We start from the raw sequence: 22,054 nt of genomic DNA on the forward strand, positions 1-22,054 counted from the left end.
AGGGGCCTAGGAACCCAGGCCAGCTTTTCCCCAGGGTGGGGAAGGAAGGATTTTGCAGCTGGGGAAGAACAAGAGGCTTTCCTTGGTGCATGCCTCACTCTGCCTAGCTCAGCCATACATGCTGTAAAGCCAGCCATGACCTTTCCGGACCAGGGGTTGGAGTGGGAAAGGAGGTGTGCACTGGGTCAAATGGGCAGCAAAGAAGGCAGGTGCCCTGCCTGTGAGTTGGCAGTCAAGGGAGCCTCCATGCAGAGTCTCCATTCCCACCCCACCCTCGCCCTCAGTCAGCTGCCACAAGTCAGCCCACTCCTGTACCTGCTGCAGCCCAGCCCAAGAGCTCCAAAAGCTGGGGCTGTGGAGCACTCTCACTGCTTGGCATTTTCTCATTGGTTTGATTTGTTGTTGGGGTCTGAGTGTTAGATCAGGGAGGGCAGGTCTTGTGTGTTTAGCTTTTTTTGTTTATTGTTGCTTAGCTTTTTTTCCATTGCACCTTGAACGATGCCTGGCACATAGCACGAGCTTGGTGACCATTTTGGGGTAAGTGAATTGATTCATTCACTAAGAATTAATTTGCTAAGAATGGGCTGTCAACCTAATATAATCAACAGGGTCAGAATCTAGTTTAAAGAGAATTTATTTAAGTGCAAAGTGTGAGGACAAGCTGCCTAGGAAGCAGAGATTCCAAAGAATAGAAGTCAATGTTCCAAACTGTAGAAGTTTGGGATTTTTATATAGACAAAGCTTAGGGAGGCTTAACAGAATTCCAATCTCTTTCTATGTAAGGCTTAATGCATAGTTAAAATGATCTGATTAGTTGAGATGGCTTTTGTTTTCCAGAAAGGTGAATTTAACATTCTCCATGGAAGATGTAACTGTCACGGGGTCTTGGGCACCATCTGGTCTGAGTTAGGTACAGGACAATAAAGGAGACAGTTAATCTATAACAAAGATCAGTGATTGGAAGGAGGAGAAGGTCTGTTCTTTGGTCTCTCTTAGTCATTTATAGCAACGAGAACAATGAGGAAGACAGTTAAGCTCTAATCTAAGAAGCAGAACTGCAAATATGCAGCCGTGGCTCAGTCGCCAGGGCTTAACTTCTCCCATGGCATAATACTTTTAGACAGTTCTAAAATTTTATTTTCTTTTACAGGGCTCACCTGAAACAATTATATTTTAACAAGGCAATAGTAAGAACAACAACACCAATTCCCACCGAGGGCTAACTCTGCCAGGCACAGTTCCAAGTGCATTTTGCATATTATCTCATTTAATCCTCTGCTGATGTGATCGTGTTATGTGTTATTATGTCCATTTCACACCTAAGCTCTGTGTTTGTGCTCCGAATTTCCATGGAAGGAGCCACTCAGTGCTCTAACACTTGGTGTGTGAGTCACCCCAGAAGTTCCCTCCCATGTCCCTGCTGGAGTAAGAGGTGCTATGAGGCAGTCTCTCCTGCAGGGTCTTGGGCCTAGCAAAGTCCACTAGGCCATTGGCTTCCAGGCTGTCTTGTCCCTGCATGAAGACTGAGGCCGCTTTGGGGAACTTTCTGCTGCTAAAAGTTAATAATTCTTTAAAAACACACATCACATACTATGGGCCTGGCATTGTGCTAAGTGCTTTAGATATGTTAACATTCCATCCCCAAAACTCTGGAGTGAAGTAGGTGCTATAATTATCCCTGTTTTTTTAAATGTGGAAACAGAGGTGCAGAGCAGCTAAATATCTTGTCCAAGGTCACACAGCAAAGTGGCGGAGACAGTCTGGCCTCTAGGTCTGTCCTCTTTACCACTGCTCCAGACTGTCTTTTGATGAAACTGCCCCTCACTGGATATGAAGGGAGACAGAGATGGTGACATGGCTGGAGAGGGTGACAGTTTCCCCATCGCAGCATCAATGTGTCAGTTAGGACTTGTTTGGTTGCAAGCGGCAGGAAGCCATCCCCAACAGGCTCAGCTTGAAGCTGTTTTACTTCAGGCATGGCTGGATCTAGAACCCCAGATACTGGAATTAGGACCAAGTCTCTTTCAGGGTTCAGCTAGGATTACCTCTGTGGTGGCTGCATTCTCAGGCTCCATGGGTTGGCAAGGTGAGTGTCAACAATTCTGCACCCTTGATTAATCTCACCTATAAACCCCGTGGGAAGAGACAGTCTTTCTCTAATCCCTCCGGTGAAAAGCTTGGAATTACCTGTCTTTGAATCTGATTGGATAGCCTTGAGTCAGGAGCCCCCCCCCCTCCCCCGCCCCCCGTTAACCAATCATCATGGATAAGGGAATGAAGCAGTTCTCTGATTGGTCAGTCCTAGGCATTATGTAAAGGCCGACAGCCAGGTGTGGGCCAGCTCCAACTGGGGCGACTTGTGGAGGGTGGTTCCTGGGACAACGCCCATGCCGTGATCAGGAACGGGGTCAGCAGGAGTCAGGTGGGGAAGTGCCAGGTGTCCACTGCCACGACCAACACGTTACTCACACTCACGGCACAAGAATGGCCTCTGTACCCTGTGTGTAGGTAGGTCAGAAGCTTTTTTGTTTGTATTTTATGACTTTTATAGAGTTATGATGACATGTATTTTTCTCAAATTTTCATAGCTGTCTCTCTAATGAACTACAAAGTAGGGCGTTCATGGTCCTTCTGGGAGGTGTGTGACTAATGCGGGAATTTCAAGCACCATGACAGGGCGAAGGGAGCAGAAATTCTGCAGGAAAACCGGGGGGCGGGGAGAACAGTGATGTGACATCATTAGGCTGAGAAAGAGGTAGATATGGGTCCTCGTAGCAAACAGGAATGACACTGGTTAACATTGAAGGTACTCTCTCTCAAGTGTGTCAGGCTCTGTCCTAAGCTTGACCTGCATCCTTCCATTGGAACTTCCAGACGACTCTCCGAGGTGGTGTCCCATTTCTCTGTACAGGCATATCCAGGCACAGTCGCTTGTATGTCTGAGACCTCAAGCTGGAGAGTGCTGATGGCCAACATGCTGGTCACCTCTCCACAGTCCTTCCTCCTCCTGGACAACACCCCTGCTCTCTCTGGATGGTCCTGAGCTAAGCCCGGAAGGTGAATCACAGGGGTCTAAGTCAATCGCGGGATCCCACCTCTCTGCCTGTGATTGGTGGACATTGAGCCACTTCTGACCAATGACGTGCAAGGGATGTGCTTGGGGGATTCTGGGAAAATCTTTTCTCTGTAAAGAGAGGGGGCTCATGAGGAGCATGTTTTCTCCCCTGGCCTCATCCCCTCCTGCCCTGGGCATTGTCACCTGACCCCTCCTCCCCACCTCCACTGCCACCACCTTAATCCAAAGCACAGCATCCTGTGTTCGTTTGCTTGGAATATTCTGGTCTTCTCCTCCCTGGTCTCATGCAGCCCGAGGATTCTGCTCAAATCCAAGTCAGGCCGTGTTGCTCCTCTGCTCGGAGCCCTCCAGGGATTTCCCATCTCACACTGAGTCAAAGCCCAAGACCCCATCACTCCCCACAGGACCCCACTGACCCCCGCCCCTCCCCGCACCCTCCCCTGCGTCTCTCCCTTCCACTCACTGTCCCAGCCACCCTGGTTTCCTCACAGGCCCTTGACCTCCCCGGCAGCTCCGTCTCAGGCCTCTGCACGAGCTGCTCCCTGTGCAGGGAATGATCTACCCTAGTAACCCCCATGGATCCCTCCGTCCCCCAGGTCTCTGTTCACAAGTCTCCATCTCCACTAGGCCTTCCCTGTCACAGTGTCTAAAATGCAACCCTCCCCATGCCCTGGGCCCCCACCTCTTCCCAGTTTAGTTTCTCTGATACACTACCTGGTACACCGAGCTATTTGGTTTGCTGTTCCGCTTGCCCAACCAGAACAGCAGCTCTACGGCGGCTTTGTCTCCCTCATGGGCCCCCTTTTGGGGCCTGGGGCAGTGCTGGGCACGTGGCTATCCCCAAATAAATAATGACTGAATAAGTGAATGAATGTACATGGGGGCTGTGACAATGTGTGACCATGAGGGATGCCTTGGGGGCCACATGAGGCCAGAGGAGACTGGGCAGTGGCTTGGTGACTCTGTGGAGCCCCTGCCTGGCCATGGCCCTCCCGCCTCCAGAGTTCTCCTAAGGGGTAAGAAAAGGCCTCCATTGCTGGCACCTTCACCCACCGCATCTCCCGTTGTTGCAGCCACAATTTTCTTACAAGGACAGTGGCTGGATTTGAGCCCAGGCTGTGTGGCTCCAGACCTAAGCCCAGGGCTTTGTCTGGGGTGTGGCCCAGGGGCAGGTCCTTGGGTGTGTGAGGGTGGCTTGGCTCAGCTCCTCTCCCTAGGTCACTGCAGCGGCCCTGTGCTGTTCTGTTTTCCCATCCAGAAGTCCTGAGGGTCTCAGCAGAGGGGCCCAGGATCCAAGTCCATCCACTCCCAGGGCGGGTCCCTAGCCAGCCTCTGCCCAGCATGTGGTGTGGATGCTGCCATATCCTTCTGCTTCCTGAAATGTTTCCCTTCCAGAACTTTCCAGGCCCAGGTTCCCCATGCGGGGCTGCCTGAGCACCCCCACCCTATGGCCAGCCCTGCTGCCCTGGCTTCCACCTCCAGATCCTTCCTGCCATGTCCCCCTCCAATCAGAGCCGACCCACACTGTGTCCCTCCCAGTGGCTCTACTGCCTACTGAACACGTGCACCATCACCGCCGTGGGGCCCACAGGTAATGGGAGATGCCCCCAGGTCCTGGTTTGTGCTTCGCCAGAGCCCTCCTAGAGCTGCAGGCGATGATGGGAGCTTTTCAAACACCAGCAGGGCCTAGATGAGCTGCTCCAGGGACAGGAGTGTTGCGGGCGAATGAGCTGGACGAGGGCCAGCCCTGCAGGGCGCGCAGACTTGCGGCTCTCTTCGCAGGCTTTTGGCCCAAACAGCTCTTTGGAAAAGAGCACAGGAATGGCCCCGGAAGGTGGGACCTGTTTCCATGGTGCACGCGCAACATTGGAGGACGATGGAGCTGGGACTGCTGGGGAGCAGCGAGTCAAGGGAGGGGAGGGGGCCTGGGTGTGGGACACAGGGCTGCCCTCCGTCCTTCATACCCACTGGTGCCAGCTCACCTGTCACTCCCACATGAAGGCCGAATCAGTCAACATTTTCCAGAGAAACAGAATCCATATGGAGAGAGAGAGAGAGAGAAACTTAAGGAATTCGCTCATAGGATTGTGGGGGCTCATAGGACTGTGATGCTGAGACTGGGGATGGGGGTGTGAGGGGCTGCCACAGCTGTGTCCTGGCAGCGCCGAGCCAGTCCCCTGTCCTGTTTGCAGAGTCAAGGCTATAAAGAGGGACTGAGAACACCGTGACGCCCTGGCCTGCGCACCCTCCTCTGCTCCATCTGGGTCTGTCCGGATGGCAGAGGCTCAGAGGGTCTGCCCCTACCAGATGGTGGAGGCTCAGAATGTCTGAGCCAGAAAAAGCATGAAAGAAAACTTAGCCTTCCTCCTCCCAGTTAACAGGTGAGTCAGATCCCAGTGCCCTGTAGGGACTGCAGAGGCAGCTCCCTTCTCTTGCCCTTGACTCCATGCCCTTCTTCTTCTTCCTGCCTAGCTGCACACATGGCACCATGCAATTCCCCTCCTCCTCCTCCTCCTCCTCCTCACTTCTGCTCATGTGGGGAAACCTGTGCCTTATGTATCCTGCACCCCAGGGTTCTTGGACCCTGGACCCCAGCCTGTGGGCAGCAGGCCCTCCAAGCTCCACCCACTGCTCAGCACCACGTCCATTACCCCCTGTCCAAGCCACTGTCCTCTCTTGTCCTGGTGATTAAGACAGGCTCCTGTGGAGTTTCCATGCTGCGCCTGCCCCCATGATCCATTCTCCTTTCAGCCACCAGAGTAAGCATGATAAAGTGCAATTAAGATGATGCCACTCTCTCATCTACAATCTTCAATGACTTCTCATTGCTCTTGGAATCAAATCCAAACCCCACTGTGGCTTGCATGACCCCCTGTGATCTGGTCCCTGCCCTCACGACACATCTCTCCCTGTTCACTTTGTACTAAGCACATTCCCACCTCAGGGCCTTTGCATTTGCTGGGCCTGCAGCCTGAATTGCTTTCTTCCCAGACCTTCTTGTATCTGACCCCTTTTCATCCTTCTGGTATTAGCTCACCTGTCACCCCCACGTGAAGGCTGTATCAATCAGCATTTTCCAGAGAAACAGAATCCATATGGAGAGAGGGGGGGTGGGGAGAGAGAGAGAGAGAGAGAGAGAGAGAGAAACTTAAGGGATTCGCTCATAGGATTGCGGGGGCTGGCAAGTGTGAAATCTGCAAGCAGACAGGCAGGCTGGAAATTCCAGCAAGAGTTAATGTTGCAGTCTGGAGTCGGAAGGGTGGAAACTCAGGCAGAATTTCTACGTTACAGTCTGGAGTCAGAATTCCTTCCTCTTTGAGGGACCACACTCTCTTAAGGCAGCAGTCCCCAGCACTTTTGGCACCAGGGACAAGTTTTGTGGATGACAATTTTTCCACGGACTGTGGGGGGTTGGGTGGATGGTTTCAGGGTGAAACTGTTCCACCTCAGATCATCAGGTGTTAGAGTCTCATAAGGAGCACGCAACCTAGGTCCCTTGCATGCGCAGTTCACAATAGGGTTCATGCTCCTTCGAGAATCTAACGCTGCTGCTGATCTGACAGGAGGTGGAGATCAGGTGGTAATGTTTGCTCACCCACAACTCACCCCCTGCTGTGCGGCCTGGTTCCTATCAGGCCACAGACCAGTATCCCGGTCCACGGGCCTGGGGGTTGGGAACCTGTGTCTTAAGGCCTTCAACTGATTGCATGACACCCACCCCCACTGTGGAGGGCACTCCACGCGACTCAGAGGCTACTGATTTAAATGTCAATCACATCTAAAAATTAACTTCCCGGCAACATCTAGATGGATTGTGATCAAACAACTGGGCAGCTTCACCTGGCCGATGGGACACCTACAGTTAAGCATCACGGACACCCTCACCCCCCCGCCCCCACAATCTAACGGGGATCCCTGTGGCAGATGCTGTTAGTTCCTTCCCATAAAGCCCGGAACTTGCAGCGCGCTGTGCAGATTTCCACCTTCATCTCTGTGCCTGAGGCTATTTCTCCAGAGTCCCGGAAGGCTGTTCTGGTGGGCTAGAAATGCCAAAGACGCATTACCCTGTGGGAGCGGCCCTCAACCAGTGACTCTTGGTAGCTGGTGGGAAAATATCCCAGGCCCCTCGCCCCGCAGCGGGATGACTCTGAGCTGTGTGCTCTACACTAACTTGCCCCAGGAGGATTGAGCCCCGGCTGCACGCTGCATTGCTTGCTCGGTAACACCCTGTGCTGGCTGCTTTCCCTCTCCTGTCTCATTTCCCCACCCCTTACCAGTACTGCCTGGATCCCCTTCCAGACAAACGACTTGCCCTTGGCTCCATGCTCAAAGTCGTCGTCTAGGGAGCTCAAGCTTGGATGCTCCTTCGTTTTCGCTAATCACTCTCTGTATGTCCCCTGGTCTTCTTACAATGGTAGCCCTTGTCAAAGCTCTAATCATCTTGTTTTTATGTCTGCTTTCTTTCTGCTCACTGGAAGGCTGGGTCCTGAGGGCACAGTGTCCAGCACGGAGGACACACAGTAAATATTCCCAGAAGGAGTGATGGGTGAACGAATAAATAGAATCTCACCCTGCCACCATGATTAAATTCAGCCCCAAACTTACCTGTCCCATTGTTTCCATATCCTGCCACCTCTGAGGCCTAATCTGAAGAACTGATTTGTGCCAGTGGACGAGCACTATTTCTCTAGGTGAGACATGCAGGTGTCAACAGGAAATGTCCTGAGATGTAATTCTTCAACCCAGGAAGCCACTCCAATCAAGAGAACATAAAGCAATGGTGATGGGATGTGGGGGTTCCATGGGGCTTGGATGCCCTGAGGAGGGCCTCAAATCACAGAATGATGAAGGTCTTCTGGATGCAGTGGCAGGGCAGGAGAGGTATTGCCCTGGGACTCGAGATGGGACCACAGCCAATTGCTCACTCAGCCATGGCCTGTGGGTCTGACACTGGGACCTCACTAACCCTCTTTTAACACTCCTATCTGTAAGTAGGGATCATGACCCACACTTTGCAGGGGTTCTGATGCTGCAAAATTCTGGCGCTTTCTACATGATAAGGTCTTTGCTCACCAAATGGAAGAGACTGCGTGCAGGTAGCATGGGCCTGCCTACTGCAGGTGGGGTGCTTTGGGCTGCAAGTAACAGAAAATCCAACTCAAAGTGAATTGTGTGATAAAGACAATGCACCACCTCGCTTATCATGGTCTGAGTTCCTCCATGAGGGTTGCCGCCTGGTGCGTCCTCTGTAAGCTCCCTGAAGCAGGGGCCTAGGCTGACCTTTTTTCTCCACTGCCCCCGAGAGCATAGACCAGGGCCTGGCACAGAGAAGGCGTCCAGTGAGGATTCCACCCAGGACACCATCAAACCCTCATCGCTACATGGTCTATTAAGTTGTGTTCCCCCAACAGCAGTTAAAGAAACCAAAGCTTGGCCAGGCACGGTGGCTCACGCCTGTAATCCCAGCACTTTGGGAGGCCGAGGTGGGTGGGTCACTTGAGGTCAGGAGTTCGAGACCAGCCTGACCAATATGGTGAAATCCCATCTCTACTAAAAATAAGAATACAAAAATTAGCTGGGCGTGGTGGCATGTGCCTGTAGTCTCAGCTACTCAGGAGGCTGAGACAGGAGAATTGCTTGAACCTGGGAGGCGGAGGTTGCAGTGAGCCAAGATTGCGCCATTGCACTCCAACCTGGGCAATGAGAGTGAAACTCCGTCTAAAAAAAAAAAAAAGAAGAAGAAGAAAGAAACTAGAAACTAAAGCTAAGGGAAGATAAATTACCTGCATGACATATTGAAGCACACAGAGGACAGTCCTGGCATTCCCTACTCTGGGCTCTGGCCATAACCCTGACAACCCTGCTACTCTACTGTCCTCCCTGGCCTCTCTCAGGCCAGTTTGTCCTCAGATCGGGCAGTGTGGGAGTTGACAAACCAGTCAACCCAGACTCAGATGACGCAGAAGTCTGCCCAACACAGAAGTCCACCAACCATTGCATTGTGATCATTGCACCGAGGACATAAATTCAGCAACATGTGCTGGGTCAGCTGCCTCGTTTTTCTCCAAAGTAGCAAATTTATGGGGCACACGTGCACATGGGTGATTATTTCCCAATAGTTTATAGTATCAAGCCTCCTTTCTTTCCTCCCAATAAATCTAATTTATATGGATTGGCAGATCAAACAGTGCATTTCCTGGCATCGAGAGGCTGTGAGTCACTCACAGTGCTTTAGGAAACTTGGGGAGATTAAGGTTTTGCATAATGCAAATGCGGATGGAAACATATTTGGACTGCCTCGCTGTGGATGCAATTAGAGCAATGAGCACCAGGAGAAATACTTTTTCCCAGGACACAGCAAGGTCTGCTTGGTATGCAAAGAGCACAGTTATTTGCGACACCAGAGCCTGGAACGTGGTGAGCAAAGCACCCAGTGACGGTTTGATTTGCAGCTTTAAGGAATTCAAAGATGAATAAAACATTAAATTAATTGCCAAAGAACTGTTGCCAAGCCTGCATGAGATCTAATGAAGGCACACATGCAAAAAACCAACACACACAGAACAACAAACCAAAACTGGGCCTGCGGGATGCTACCTGCCCCAAGCCCCCGAAACCACATTTGGTTTTGAGTATTTTGTCCTACTTGGAATTTTCTCTCATCAATACTCATCTCAAGTCCTCTCAGCCACGAAAGCTCTCTCCGCTTCCCCCAGCCCACAGGACGCTCCTTCGACTGTTTCCTTGTTCACTGGGGAAATGTTGACTGAGCACCTGCTATGTGTCAGGCACTGCTTTCCCAGACGCTGGGGAAACAGCACTGAACGAACCAGGCCACAATCCCTGCCCTGGTGGCTGCCTTCCTGCGGGGAGTATGATAATAAGCAAAATAGAGAAATTAATATATTGGAAAGTGCTCAGTGCTACGGAGAAAACAAAGATGAAGTGGGGATAGGAAATGCCGGGAGGTAGGGTCAATCGCAGATTGAGGCAAAGGGGTCAGGGAGGTCCCAAGATGGGGGACATTTGTACAGATCCCTGAAGGAGGTGAGGGTGGTGACTACGAGGAATGTCAGGCAGAGGGAATAGCAAGGGGAGAGGCCCGGAGTGGAGGTTCCCGAGTGTTTGAGAACCTGTGGAAGCTGGTGTGGCCGAGTAAGTTAGGGGGAGAGTGATGGTGATGCACCCAGACAAGGAGCAGGACCAAGGTCACATAAAGTCAATGCATTAATTCACCTTTCAATTCATTCATTCACTTACTCAACGAATCTTTTGAGGCTCTACTGTGAGCCAGGACCTGCTATTTTAGATCCTGAAAATCCAACATTAGACGTGACAGGCAAGGTCCCAGCTCTCACGGGGCTGTGTAATGGTGGCTGATCCGGGAGCAGGAGGGAAGTTACTTTGTTGAGGTGAGTGGGGAAGCCCAATCGCCACTCGCCTCTAGGTCCACAATCCCAGCAGAATTCCCTCTTTTGTTTGCTCTTAGGTGATTCTTGTCTTCCCCATAAGCCCATTTAGCAGATGAGAAAACTAAGGTTCCTTTGGAATGGAAGTCCTGGCTTCTCTCCATAAAGTCTGGAAATTAGAGGGAGTAGAATTAACTCCCTTTTCCTTTGCACAGGGCCAGCATGAGGCTTTGGGGAGGTTCTGAGGCAGGAGACATCCTACGTCATCTCCACAGGTCATGAACCCTATAGCATCTCCCACCAAGAGGGTCACGGACCCTACAGCATCTCCCACCAGGAGGGCCATGACCAGCCTCTGGGGCTGTGCTGCTGCATGCCAAGGAGTAGCTGAATCCTAGGAGTGGAGAATCCCCAGCCTGGAAGGGGACCCCCTCCACCGACTGCCATCACTCTGGGGCTCTCTGGCTTGAGGGCTCTCTGGGGCCACGAGGCCAGGCCTCCTCTCCACGTCCAAACAGGCTGGCTGGGTGCAAAATGCCATGGTGCTTGCTCTGGATGGGCTGGAGTTTTCCCTATTCAGGGGCCAGGGCAATGGGTGGAGGGCCTGGGTAGAGAGGCAGAGCACGGTTGCGTCCAGGCTGTGCCACCCTGACCCTGAACTCAGGCCCACAGGAGGCTCCAGGCAACAGCTGCTCTCTCCTCTGCTGGGGCCTCCTGCCTGGAAAGCCTGCTCCCACCCACAATGCCTAGATTCCTCCCTCCAAGCAGCCTTAGAGACCCCTTTGGGATCCAGATCTGCTCTGCTCCTCACCCTGGGGATCTGGGTGTCACTTTAAATAAAGGGACCGCTCGTGCTCACCAGGCTGCGGGATATTCAGAGGCTGGGCTGGCAGTTCCCATCCCGTGGTCGCAGAGTGCTATGGAGGGGAGATAATAGGTGTGATTTCTGTGCAGAGGATGGACAGGGCTCCAGGGACAGAGGATGCAGGAGTGACAGGCATCATCAGATACCATTTGTCCAGCAGCCGCTCCAGCCACCTGGTGTGGATGTGGCCTCGTGTCCATACTCTCCAGAGCACCCGGCTTAGTGGCTATCTGCCTGGCTGTCTCTCCCATTTTCATGTGAAAGGGGGCCAGGCAGGACATGGGGTCTGGGGACTGCCATCTCCTCCTGGGGGCTGCACTGTGCTGACAGTCTTGTGTCCCCCTGACAGGGGCTGCACAGACGGGCCAGGCAGAAGTGAAGGAGAAGAAGGAAGCCAACAGAAGGTGGCTTTCAGGGCTGGTCACGCAGAGGGTGGATTCTGACGGGCAGGGCTGCTGTGGGTGGTGGGCACCATCTATGCTCATCCCTGCCCAGGCAGCTCTGGGCTCCCCCAGCTCAGGTGGGCCCCCTCCTCACCCAGGGCGCAGCTGTGGCTGGCAGCAGGCATTCACCCCCTTCTCAGCTGCTCAGCCATGGAACCAGGAGCTAACTCAATTCCTCTGTCCCCAAAGTCTGTGCCCACCAGGCCATCCGCCTCAAACACTTGGTGGCCAAGGCCTGGGGATGGTCCCCAGGCTGCATCTGGTCAGTGGTCAAGAGGCTGCACCTCTAGGAGCCTCCTCTGTCACTCACCCGCCCAGGCCTGGACAGCCTGGACACTCCAGCCAGAGGCAGCCCAGAGGGTGTGGGAGGGGCTCTCTGGGGACAGAGCAGGAGGGGACACTGCTGTGACCCTGTAGCTGCAGACATGTGTCTCCACGAAGGGAAGAGGCTGCTGTCCACTGTCGCTTTCTGCAGTGACACTGTGCCCTGGCCCGGGCTCTCTGCTGGGTTGCAGAAGTGCCTGGGTCAGGACAGCTCGCATCTGCCTTCACCGCAGACCCCTCTCTGCAGCCCATCTGAGGCAATGTGGCCTCTGCTGTCCAAGACTCACTTCGAGGGGATCCTTTTCCTTTTTTAGTGGAAACCTGGTGTCCTCCCTTTGAGTGCTTTTAGGGGCTGGGGAGGAGGTGGCTATTGGCGGCAGTGCGGGGGCTTCATGCTCTGCCTGCGCGCAGCAGAGAACACGGCTTCATTGGTGGGATTTGTCTGGTGACTGGGCAGGTGGGTCGCCTGGACACGTGCTCCCAGCCTTCAGATGTGACAAGGAGGGGACCATTTGCGGGGTTGCTGTGTGCTGGGGACAGAGCAGAAAATGCCAGGCGGCACCATTTTTCCCACTCCCCACCCGCCCGTGCTCACTCAGAGGGAATGTACAGATATTCTGTTTGTAATTAAAAAGTAATTTAATTATCCGCTGAAAATGAGGTTTCAGAATTAATATTGAAATGAATTCTAGCTGTGCTGTATGATGTCTTTTCTCCCTGCTCATTAGAACATCGGGAGGGGTGAGGAGAGAAGGCCCAGGAGGAGGGGCGTCCTTCCCAGGCAGCTGTCACAGGCCCCTAGCTGAGCTCTCATGGCAGACACAGCCCAGGACACTCAGACCCAGAGTGACTACGAGCCCCGGCAAGACGTGGAGGAGCAGAGTTACAACCCGTCAAGAGCCTGATTTCAGGTTGAAACCAGGCTTCACCATGCAGCAGCTGTGTGGCCTCAGGGAAGTTACTGAACCCCTCTGAGCCTCCCATGGAAAATAAGGATGATGGTTCCCCTCACAGGGTTGTCGGGAGGATTCAGTGTCCTCCTTCAGGTCTTGACTCGGATGTTGCCTCTGAGTGAGGGCGTCTTTGGCCACCCCATTTAAAGTGCCAACCCTGACACTTCCTCCCTCCTTTCCCCTCTGTCCTCTTCCTGGCTCTTATCACCATCAGACAAACCAAGTTTTCACTTCTTGATCATTGTCCAGCCCCTGCTGTGAAATGTGAAGTCCTAAGACACAGGCTTTTTTTGTTTGTTACGTTCATTGCTTTAGAAGGAATTAAGGACAAGCTACCCCAAATGACGTCACTTTGGTATATGGATTATTTTGAGCTGCAGGCACTGGAGAAACAGCAGGTGCAGGCAGGGCCTTCGGACCTCCCCTTTTCTAACCAAGAACAGGCCATGACATTTCCCACGAGATACACACTCCCTTTGTACCAGGAAGAGAACATCCTTATCACCAAACACTGGGAGTGGATGCCGAGGTGCATCTGCACAAACACACTTAATAAAATAACCCTTTGCTTCCACCAGTTTTACTCGTTTCTCCCCCACGAATCTTCCAGTTCCTCCCCCACGATTTACTGCCCCCAGTCCAAACCTTTTTGTCTCATCATTTCTTCACAAATATATCATTTCTTCGAGAGAGATAAATGCTTTCTGCACTGGGCACTTCTTCAGGGCTTCCTTCTCTTGTGAAGGCCCCATGTACACGTCAAAATGTAGTCAAGCTTGTCCACTTTCTCCTATTCATCTGCCCTATGTCAGCTGAATTCAGAACTCAGCCAGAGACTAAGACGTGAAGGAGAATTTTTTTTTCCTTCCCAACACTTTATTCCTAGAACCCATAGTAGCTGCTGCCACATAGTAGGTGTACAGCAAAGGCCTGTTTGGGTGAAATAATAAATGAATGAATGGGTGGTGAATGAATGAAGACACAAGACGCGGAGCCCTGGGAGCGGTGACTTTGCCATAAGGTTCCCTGAGTGTCCCAAGGCCAGCGCTGCCCATCAGCCCATGCCTCCCTCTCCAGGCTGTTTCCTTCCATCCATTTCCCCAACACTCATCCATGAGCTCCTGTAAGTACCCGGTGCCATGTTCAGGCACCCTGAGAACATAGCGGTGCAAAAATGCCACATATTCCTGTCCTCCTGGAGTGGATATTTCGAGACAGGAGACAGATATTGAAGAAGTGAATGATTAAGTATAAACTATAATGTCAGATTGGGATAAGTCTTAGGAAGAAAAAACGTGCTGGAGGGAGGAACAGGGAGTCACGGGCAATGCGTGAGCAAAGGAGGTCTGAGAGGACCGCTGTGGAAGGAGGCCTGAGATCTGGAGGAGGTGGGGGAGCCCGGCAGACATAGGAGTGGGATTGGGGGGGAACAGGGGGCTTCAGCACAAGGAACAGCAAGGCCAAGCCTGGGTACGTGCAGCCTGGAGAGTCTGGGGGGCTGCAAGGGACCCCTGTGGGGTGGGAGGTGGACTGAGGAGGAGCTGGTGCCCCAAGCCCAGGCGAGGTTTTGGCTTTCGTGCTGAGCAAGCTGGGGGCCGGGATGTCCCAGCACAGGAGGGACAGGACCTGAGCAAGGTTTTAAGTCCCCCGGGGCCATGTGTGGAGACCCACTGTGGGAGTGAAGGGGAAGGCAGGGAACCCTGGGAGAAGGCCACTCAGTGGGCCGGGTATGGTGGAGCTGGACCAGGGTGGAGGCCAGGGAGATGGGACACGGGGCCAGAGCAGGAAGAAAGGGTGGCAGCAGGAAAAAAGCATGAGCACGCAGGGTCTATGCGTTGGTTGAATTTTTCCTTAGAAGACTCAACCTCAGCATACCCCTTATTTGTCAGATGTGGGTCACCACCTGCCAATCACAGTCTCACGGGCAGGTCCCGTGAGCCCCCTGGAGCTGCTGCCCTGGGCTGGGCATGTGGCCTCAGACCTGGGGGTCTGGCAGCAGGAGGGGGCACAGGCAGTGGGGAGTGACCCCACCCCATGTGGCCACAGCCTCAGCAGGTTACTGCATCTGGGTCTGTGGTCCTTAAAGTGGGGACAGTGCCCTGGCGAGTCGTTGGGAAGATGAAGTGGGCGCTGTGAGCAGACAGCTGGGTGTAGGGTGGGCACAGAGTCACCATCAGCAGAAGGCTGCTGGGGGACCAAGGTAGTGCTCTGCCCCGCCCTGGGAGGATGGGCTCCTGGAGCCAAGGATCACCGAGCCTTGCAGGAAGCCCAGACAGCTCAAGGCCCCCATCGACCAATGGCTGATCAATACTTTGTCAGCTGAGGCTTCCCGGCAAGGGAGTGGCTCCCAGCACTGGGCTTTTAGGACTAGGGCTATGATTGGCAGGGACACTGGGGACCTGGCTTCCTGGATGTCCTGGCTGGTGGGTGGACACAGGCCTCCTCAAGTGGCTCTGACAAGCGTCTCATCAATTCAAGCACAGCAGGTGGGTGCCAAAATCTGCAGGCAAATGAGGGCAGGACCACTGAGCACAGCCACAGGGGACATGCCCAGGGCAGGTATTTACACAGTGAGCACCCACTGGGCATTGCTGGTGTCTGTCCTGACTTACTGAGTGTTGGGTGTGTTGAACATGCCTGGCCCTTGCACACGCCTGTGGGCTGCATTTGAGTCTGGGACATCCAGTTGTGACCCCTGTGGTAGGCCCTCCATAAATACCTGTGGATTTGGTGGGGAGGCCAGTCTTGGTGCACCATGGGCCCTCACAGCTGCTGCAGGGGTGGATTTCCCAGGGCCACCAAGTATTTCCCTTCCCTTGTCTCCTCCTCTGTGTCACTCCGCCCCTCCTCCTCCCTCCTTCTCTGATCAGGCACAACTGACACTTGAGCCCCTGGAGGTCTGGGGATTACGGAGTCTCGGCAGACACATGTTGGGGGCTGAGGAATTACCCAGCAGCTGTTGGGCCTCAGGCTGCAGAGGGGATTTACTCCAGCTCCCAGCCCCAGGGAAGGATGAAGCCTTCTGACCCCCAACCTGGCAGAGGCTACGCAGAGACAGTACGTCCACTCCTGGGTGCAGGGGAAGCAGGGAGGTAACGGACCCCGTCTCCACCCTGAGGGACATCCCAGGCCCGCAACTGTGAGCATTAGTCAGACTGTGGACTGAGTCTGGTCCTCACACTCAGGTGAGCGGGAAACTCATCACCCCCGTACTTCTCTCCCAATTGAATGTCTCATTCCCTCATTCCCAGCCCCCATTCCGGGGGAGTGAGGAGGGGGCAACTTCAACCCACACCGGGGTACCTCTTCGGGGCCATGTGATAGTTCTGGGATTTGGCAGGTGACTAAATGTGAAGGGAGCCAGGACCTCCGGGGCCTGTCTCAGCAGGCCCTGAGCCTCACAGCACACCAGCGACTCCCCTCTTCCTCACACACGCCCCTTCCCTCCAGCAGTAAACCATGCCAGCCTGCTGCCATGGTCTGTTTAGGCTGCTATCACAAAATACCATAAATGGGTGCCTTTTAAACAACAGGAATTTCTTTTTCACGGTTCTGGAGAACATGGAGTCCGTGATCAAGGTGCCTGCAGATTCAGTACTGGAGAGGGCTTATTCTCTGGTTCAGAAAATGCTGCCTGCTTGCCATGTCCTCTCGGATGGTGGAAGGGCTGAGCCAGCTCTCTGGGGGCTATTTGATATGGGTACTCATTCCATTCATGAATCCTAATCACCTCCAAAGCTCCCACTTCCTAATACCTTGGGGGTTACGACTTCAATATTTGAATTTGGAAGAGACACAAAAGTTCAGACCATAGCATCTGTCTTCTAGTAGAACCAGAATTCGCATACTTCTCGCCTCCTTCATTGCTACCACACATCCAAGCCTCCTTACCTCCCTCCTGAATACTGCATTGGACCCGTCTCTGGTCTTCTGCAGTTCCTCCTCCATATTCAGCCAGAAGGGCCCTGTGAAAACCTGAGACAGCTCCTGTTCCTCCTCCTCACAGCACTTCTTCCCTCCAAAGACAGTCCGTGCAGTTGTCTACAAGGCCCTGCCTGATGCGACCCTGGTTATGTTTTGCCTCATTTCCCTTACTTCCCTCTTTCTCACCTTCTTCCAGCCACAGCAGCCTCATTGCTGTTCCTCAAACACACCTGGCATCATCTAACCTCAGGGTCTTTGCACATGCTGCTTCCTCTACCTGAAATGCCCTTTCTCCAGATGACTAGCCCACATGGCTTTCTCCCTCAACAAATCCAGATCTTTTCTCAAATGTCACCTTATCAGTGAGCCCTTCCCAATTACTCAATATATAATTTAGACCCACACAATCACACACATGCATGTGTGTCATGCACACACACACACACACACACACACACATCTTATTCCTCTCACCTGCATTCTTTTTCTCCTTTGTAGTTACCACCACTCAACATGTTATTTATTTACTTAATTACTCTGTTTACTGCTGGCTCCACTGATAGAATATCAGCCGCATGAGGTCAACAGCTGTTTGTTCACAGCTGGGTCTGTTGCACCTGGCATTCAATACTTTTCTGTTGACTGGATGGTGGATGGATGGATGGACGGATGGATGGATGAGTGGATGGATGGATGGATGGATGGATGGATGGGTGAATGGATGGATGGATGGATGGATAGATGGATGGATGATGAGTGGATGGATGGATGGGTGAATGGGTGGGAAGGTGGATGGATGAATGGATGGATGGATGGGTGAATGGGTGGGAAGGTGGGTGGATGGGTGGGTGTTGGATGGATAGATCAATGGTCGTGCATTGCTCCTGTCAAGCTGATCTGGAGGCCCCTGCTCCTTCTGGGGCCGGTATCAAACACAGAAACCTTAGGGAGACTGATCTGGGTCCCCTGTGTCTAATGCCCCAGGAAGGTGGCCAGAGTCCCTGATGGGTGTGGTGTGTGGCTTTGAGTACAGCAAGGGCCTGGGTGGAGTTCAAGGAGGCACCAAGGCCCAGGCAGGGAATAACTGCACCTCGAGTCTAGGTCAAGCTCAGTCTTGCAGGCATTTTATGTTTGGCCCACATGGTGCTTTTAAAACGGACTTTTAGCAATACTTAAAAATCAGGAGACTTCATAGAATAACCCCTGGTTTCTTGCAAAAGCAAAGAATTAAGTTTCAAAGGGCCTTGCTTCCTTCACATAACAATTAGCCAGACCTGGGGAGTGGCCGTCCCTTTACATGGTACCTTCCTGCCAGTTCACTGCCACCCCCAACGGGCCCGTTCACCCATTATGTCCTCGCCTCGCCCCTTCAGACATGTGCGTTCGCAGCCCCTGCCTGGTTGGCTGTTGGATCCAAGAGAATGGCAGAGAGTGCCCACCCCACAAGGTGCAGGAGCTGTGGGGTATTTTCATGTGCCCCCAAGTGGCCCAGAAGTAGCAGAGAGAACAGCTGGGCTAGGAGGGCTGTGGGACCAGCACAAGGAGCGTGTCCAGGATGCCCACGATCCAGGCTGCAAGACGAGTGTCTCAGCAAGTGCTGACTCAGAGGGATGTGACCCAATGACCATGTTAGTTCTCACTGTCACCTGGTACCAGGTAAACCCTCCAAAAAGGGAAAGGGCCACCCTAAATTGTCTGAGGTCAAACTTCCACTACCCATGCAACACAGGGACTCAAACAGAAATAATAGTGAACATGGCAGGCATAGCTATGTCTAAGTCCTTTTATGAGAAAATGTTTTTAAATGTCCCAGCCACATGAAGAAAACATTCTGTTACTGTCCCATTTCATAGATGAGGAAACACACGTTCAAGCCCAGCGTGTTCAAGTATACTTGGCTAAGGTCACAGGGCTGGGAGGAAGCAGGTGCAAACCAGGCATTCTGGATCCAGAATCTGTGCTTCAACCAGTTTGCACTAATGCCACCAAGATATTGTGAAGTTTTGCAACAAAAGGTGCATTTCTGCCACTTCACTGGTGGATTGAGGTGTGGCTTCACCTCCTCTCTAAACAGGACCCGTAAACACCAACTGCTTTCTGGACCTCTTCAGGCTGAGGCTGCCCTGTTGTACAGACAGTGAATTGGAGGGCATGTGCCCATGTAAACAGCTGGGCTGTTTGGTGTGGGGGTGGGCGGGGGCACTGCAGCCTGACCTTTGCTCCAGCCTCTTCCTTCCTTGGGGAAGTGGTTAATTGGTTCGCCAGGCCAGAGGGTCACTCCTAGAAGCCCCTGGGACACGATCGATTTCTACTCAGAAAGCCTCAGCCTGGACCAGCTGTCACTTGTCAGTGTCACTGGGGAGTCACGTGGGCTGGAGAAGAAAGTGCCCTGAGCTCCATCCTCAGCCACATGGGCTCAAACTCCCAGTACAGAGACTCCCAGCCCAGCCTGCCCTCAAATAGAAATGCTTGTTAACAGGTCCTGCACTGCTCAGAAAAGAGTCATAAAATACTGTAACCTAGCCAGACAAGTTATTTTATAAAGGTCAGTAAATGCCCAAACATGCTAAACAGTGAAATGACAGCAATTCGAATCAAATGTTATTTATTATATGATAAAATGTTTTCTATATGTACATCTGTGAGCATGACCACGCTGAAATGAAGCCGTGGGGTGTTCACACCTAAGCACAAGAGGACAGTGAACATGGGGGTGCAAAGGCAGACTGACACGCTTGGTGCCGTAACCTCACAACACAAGAACACGACGGTGGGTGTGCCGCAAGGTGGACAATCTTCCCTCAATGTCAAAGGTTGATGCCGTCCTTAAAAATTCAGCACATCTTGGCTGGGTGTGGTGGCTCACACCTGTAATCCTGGCACTTTGGGAGGCCGAGGTAGGTGGATCACCTGAGGTCAGGAGTTCGAGACAGCCTGACCAACATGGCAAAACCCCACCTCTGCTAAAAGTACGAAAATTAGCCAGGCGTGGTGGCGCATGCTTGTAATCCCAGTACTTGGGAGGCAGAGGTAGGAGAATCGAACCCAGGAGGTGGAGGTTGCAGTGAGTAGAGATCGCGCCATTGCACTCTAGCCTGGGTGACAAGAGTGAAACTCCATCTCAAAAAAAAAAAAAAAAAAAAAAAAATTCAGTGCATCTTAAAATCACACGGAGAGGATAAAAAGAAAACCCTTTGTGGTGACACAACAATGTCCACCATGTCCCTCCTCCTTTCGAGGACACGGGTTGATTCTGGGCATGTCCTCTCTCCCCTGCAGCTGTGGCTGGAAGTCCAGGGCACTGACGCCCCCAGAGTACGGCCCTCACTGCACGTGGAGGGAGGCGGGTGTGCAATGCGCCAGCAGCCTTGTGGCTCACGGGGACACTGCCGGGCGCAGGTCCTGGACTGTTTCCCCAGTCCCCAGCAGTCTGAGCTCCCAATGCCTGCAGAGGTGACGTGTTGACACACCCAGTATCTATGGGGATGCCTTCCCTTCCCACACCCACTCCAGGGTTCCTGGGTCATGTCCCAAATAGACGACTTGCCCTTGAATCTGACTCAGGGTCTGCTTCTGGGGAGGCCAAACTGAGACCCCAACTGAGCGAGAATCTAGGTGTAGAGCCTCAGGAACGGGTTTCACCTCCTCGAATGTCTGGCAGGACATGAAAGCCCGGCTGGACCCGACACTGGCCCTGGTTGCGAAGGACTTTCCCATGCACCAAGGGCACAATGTCAGCACCCCGGCCCCGCCCACTGCTTGTCAGTGATGACCAAGTATGTTCCCACAATTCTTAGAACTTGCCCGGGGTCAGGACCACCCATCCTGAGAATTCCCACAGCTGATCCCTCCAGACAAGGACTGTGGGATCCACAACCCGGACAGCCGCCTGGGAGCTCTGGTCTGTGTGGAACAGAGGCTGACTGCCCCTGTCCCTTCCCGTTTCCATCTGTGCGGCCACCTGTCCTCCCTATTTCAGGCAGGAGGGGAAACTCCTTTGTCTCCCACCTTTGCCCTCACTGTGATGCCTCGGGTGCCTTCCTTGGAGGGTGCAGTGCACCGTTCAGAGGTCATGAGCGCTGGCATGGGCGGAACCACTCCCAGATGGGTTTTATTTCATTCACGGAAATGGCCCCCAAGTGTACTGAAAAGTGGAATCTGTAGTCAAAATGTTTAAATAAGGAGACTTTACATTTAAAGAACTGCATTTCCAATTTCTCTTGAGTAATCACAAGTTGTGGGAACACAGGTGACATTTGCCCTTGGTAGGGAATCCCTGAGCTGAGCTGCAGCTGCCCCTCCACACAGGGCCTGTGCTCCCCACTTTGCCACAATCCCCACTCCTCCCTGTTGTCCCCACTCCTGGCCTGTTTCACTCACTCACACCCCCTGCCTTGCTCCTGTGAGTTTGTGTCCCTGCCAGACTGGGGACTCCACACTGAGGCTGAGGTCACCCCACTCTCTCCCAACGTTGCAGAGCTGTTACAAGGACAAATGAGATCATGAGTATAAAGTGCCTGGAACGTAGATGAGCAATACAGGTCAGACAATCTTAGGATTATGGTTACTGTTTATAAAGTTATAGAGACGGCACAGTGTAGGGTCAGGAGGGTAGGCTCTGCAGTATGGCTGCCTGGACTCAAATCCCCACTTTGCCATTTCATCTCTGAGTGACCTTGGGCAAGTTACTAACCTCTCTGCCACTCGGTTACCTCATCAGTAACCTGGATGATCAAAATTGCACCAACTTCCTGGGGCTGTGGGGGCTGAGTGAGCTCAGGCACCTCGAGCGCCCAGACCCCAGCTGCCCACAGTGAACGCATCGACAAGCAGCAGCTGCATGTGTGTTAGCACTATTGTTCTTCAGCACTCCCTACCTCACCTAAGCCCCCACGAACTTCGGATGCCACTTCAGGTCTTCCTCTTCCAAGAGGCCCTCCCTGACCATCACAGGCTATGAGCACCTCAGGTAAACATGCTTCTGATCAGCGCCCAGATCTCCCCAAGTCAGCATGTCAGGTGTGCGCCTCCACAACCCATAACAATCACAATGGTGATGA

At 53.0% G+C, this 22,054-nt stretch overlaps 1 long non-coding RNA gene across 4 annotated transcripts, besides 2 other annotated features; it reads left to right on the plus strand.

Moving 5' to 3' along the window:
* Positions 1–2,339: 2,339 nt before the first annotated feature.
* Positions 2,340–12,774, plus strand: LOC105372641 (uncharacterized). Of its 4 annotated transcripts, none has more exons than XR_936809.4 (5): positions 2,340–2,508; positions 2,912–3,057; positions 4,472–4,667; positions 5,269–5,457; positions 10,701–12,774. It is a non-coding gene; the product is annotated as an uncharacterized LOC105372641 (long non-coding RNA). The 4 variants fall into 4 exon arrangements; XR_936807.3 differs by lacking the exon at positions 10,701–12,774 and adding an exon at positions 6,884–9,574; XR_936808.3 differs by lacking the exon at positions 10,701–12,774 and adding an exon at positions 7,555–9,574.
* Positions 14,431–14,963: an enhancer, noted in NCBI's record as "H3K4me1 hESC enhancer chr20:46833156-46833688 (GRCh37/hg19 assembly coordinates)". NCBI's record gives its function as "activates a minimal SCP1, AML or CMV promoter by ChIP-STARR-seq in naive H9 embryonic stem cells {active_cell/tissue: H9 hESC(naive)}" and the evidence as "EXISTENCE:reporter gene assay evidence [ECO:0000049][PMID:30033119]".
* Positions 16,030–16,561: an enhancer, noted in NCBI's record as "H3K4me1 hESC enhancer chr20:46834755-46835286 (GRCh37/hg19 assembly coordinates)". NCBI's record gives its function as "activates a minimal SCP1, AML or CMV promoter by ChIP-STARR-seq in primed H9 embryonic stem cells {active_cell/tissue: H9 hESC(primed)}" and the evidence as "EXISTENCE:reporter gene assay evidence [ECO:0000049][PMID:30033119]".

Source organism: Homo sapiens, chromosome 20, assembly GCF_000001405.40.
Source record: "Homo sapiens chromosome 20, GRCh38.p14 Primary Assembly".
NCBI lineage: Eukaryota > Metazoa > Chordata > Mammalia > Primates > Hominidae > Homo > Homo sapiens.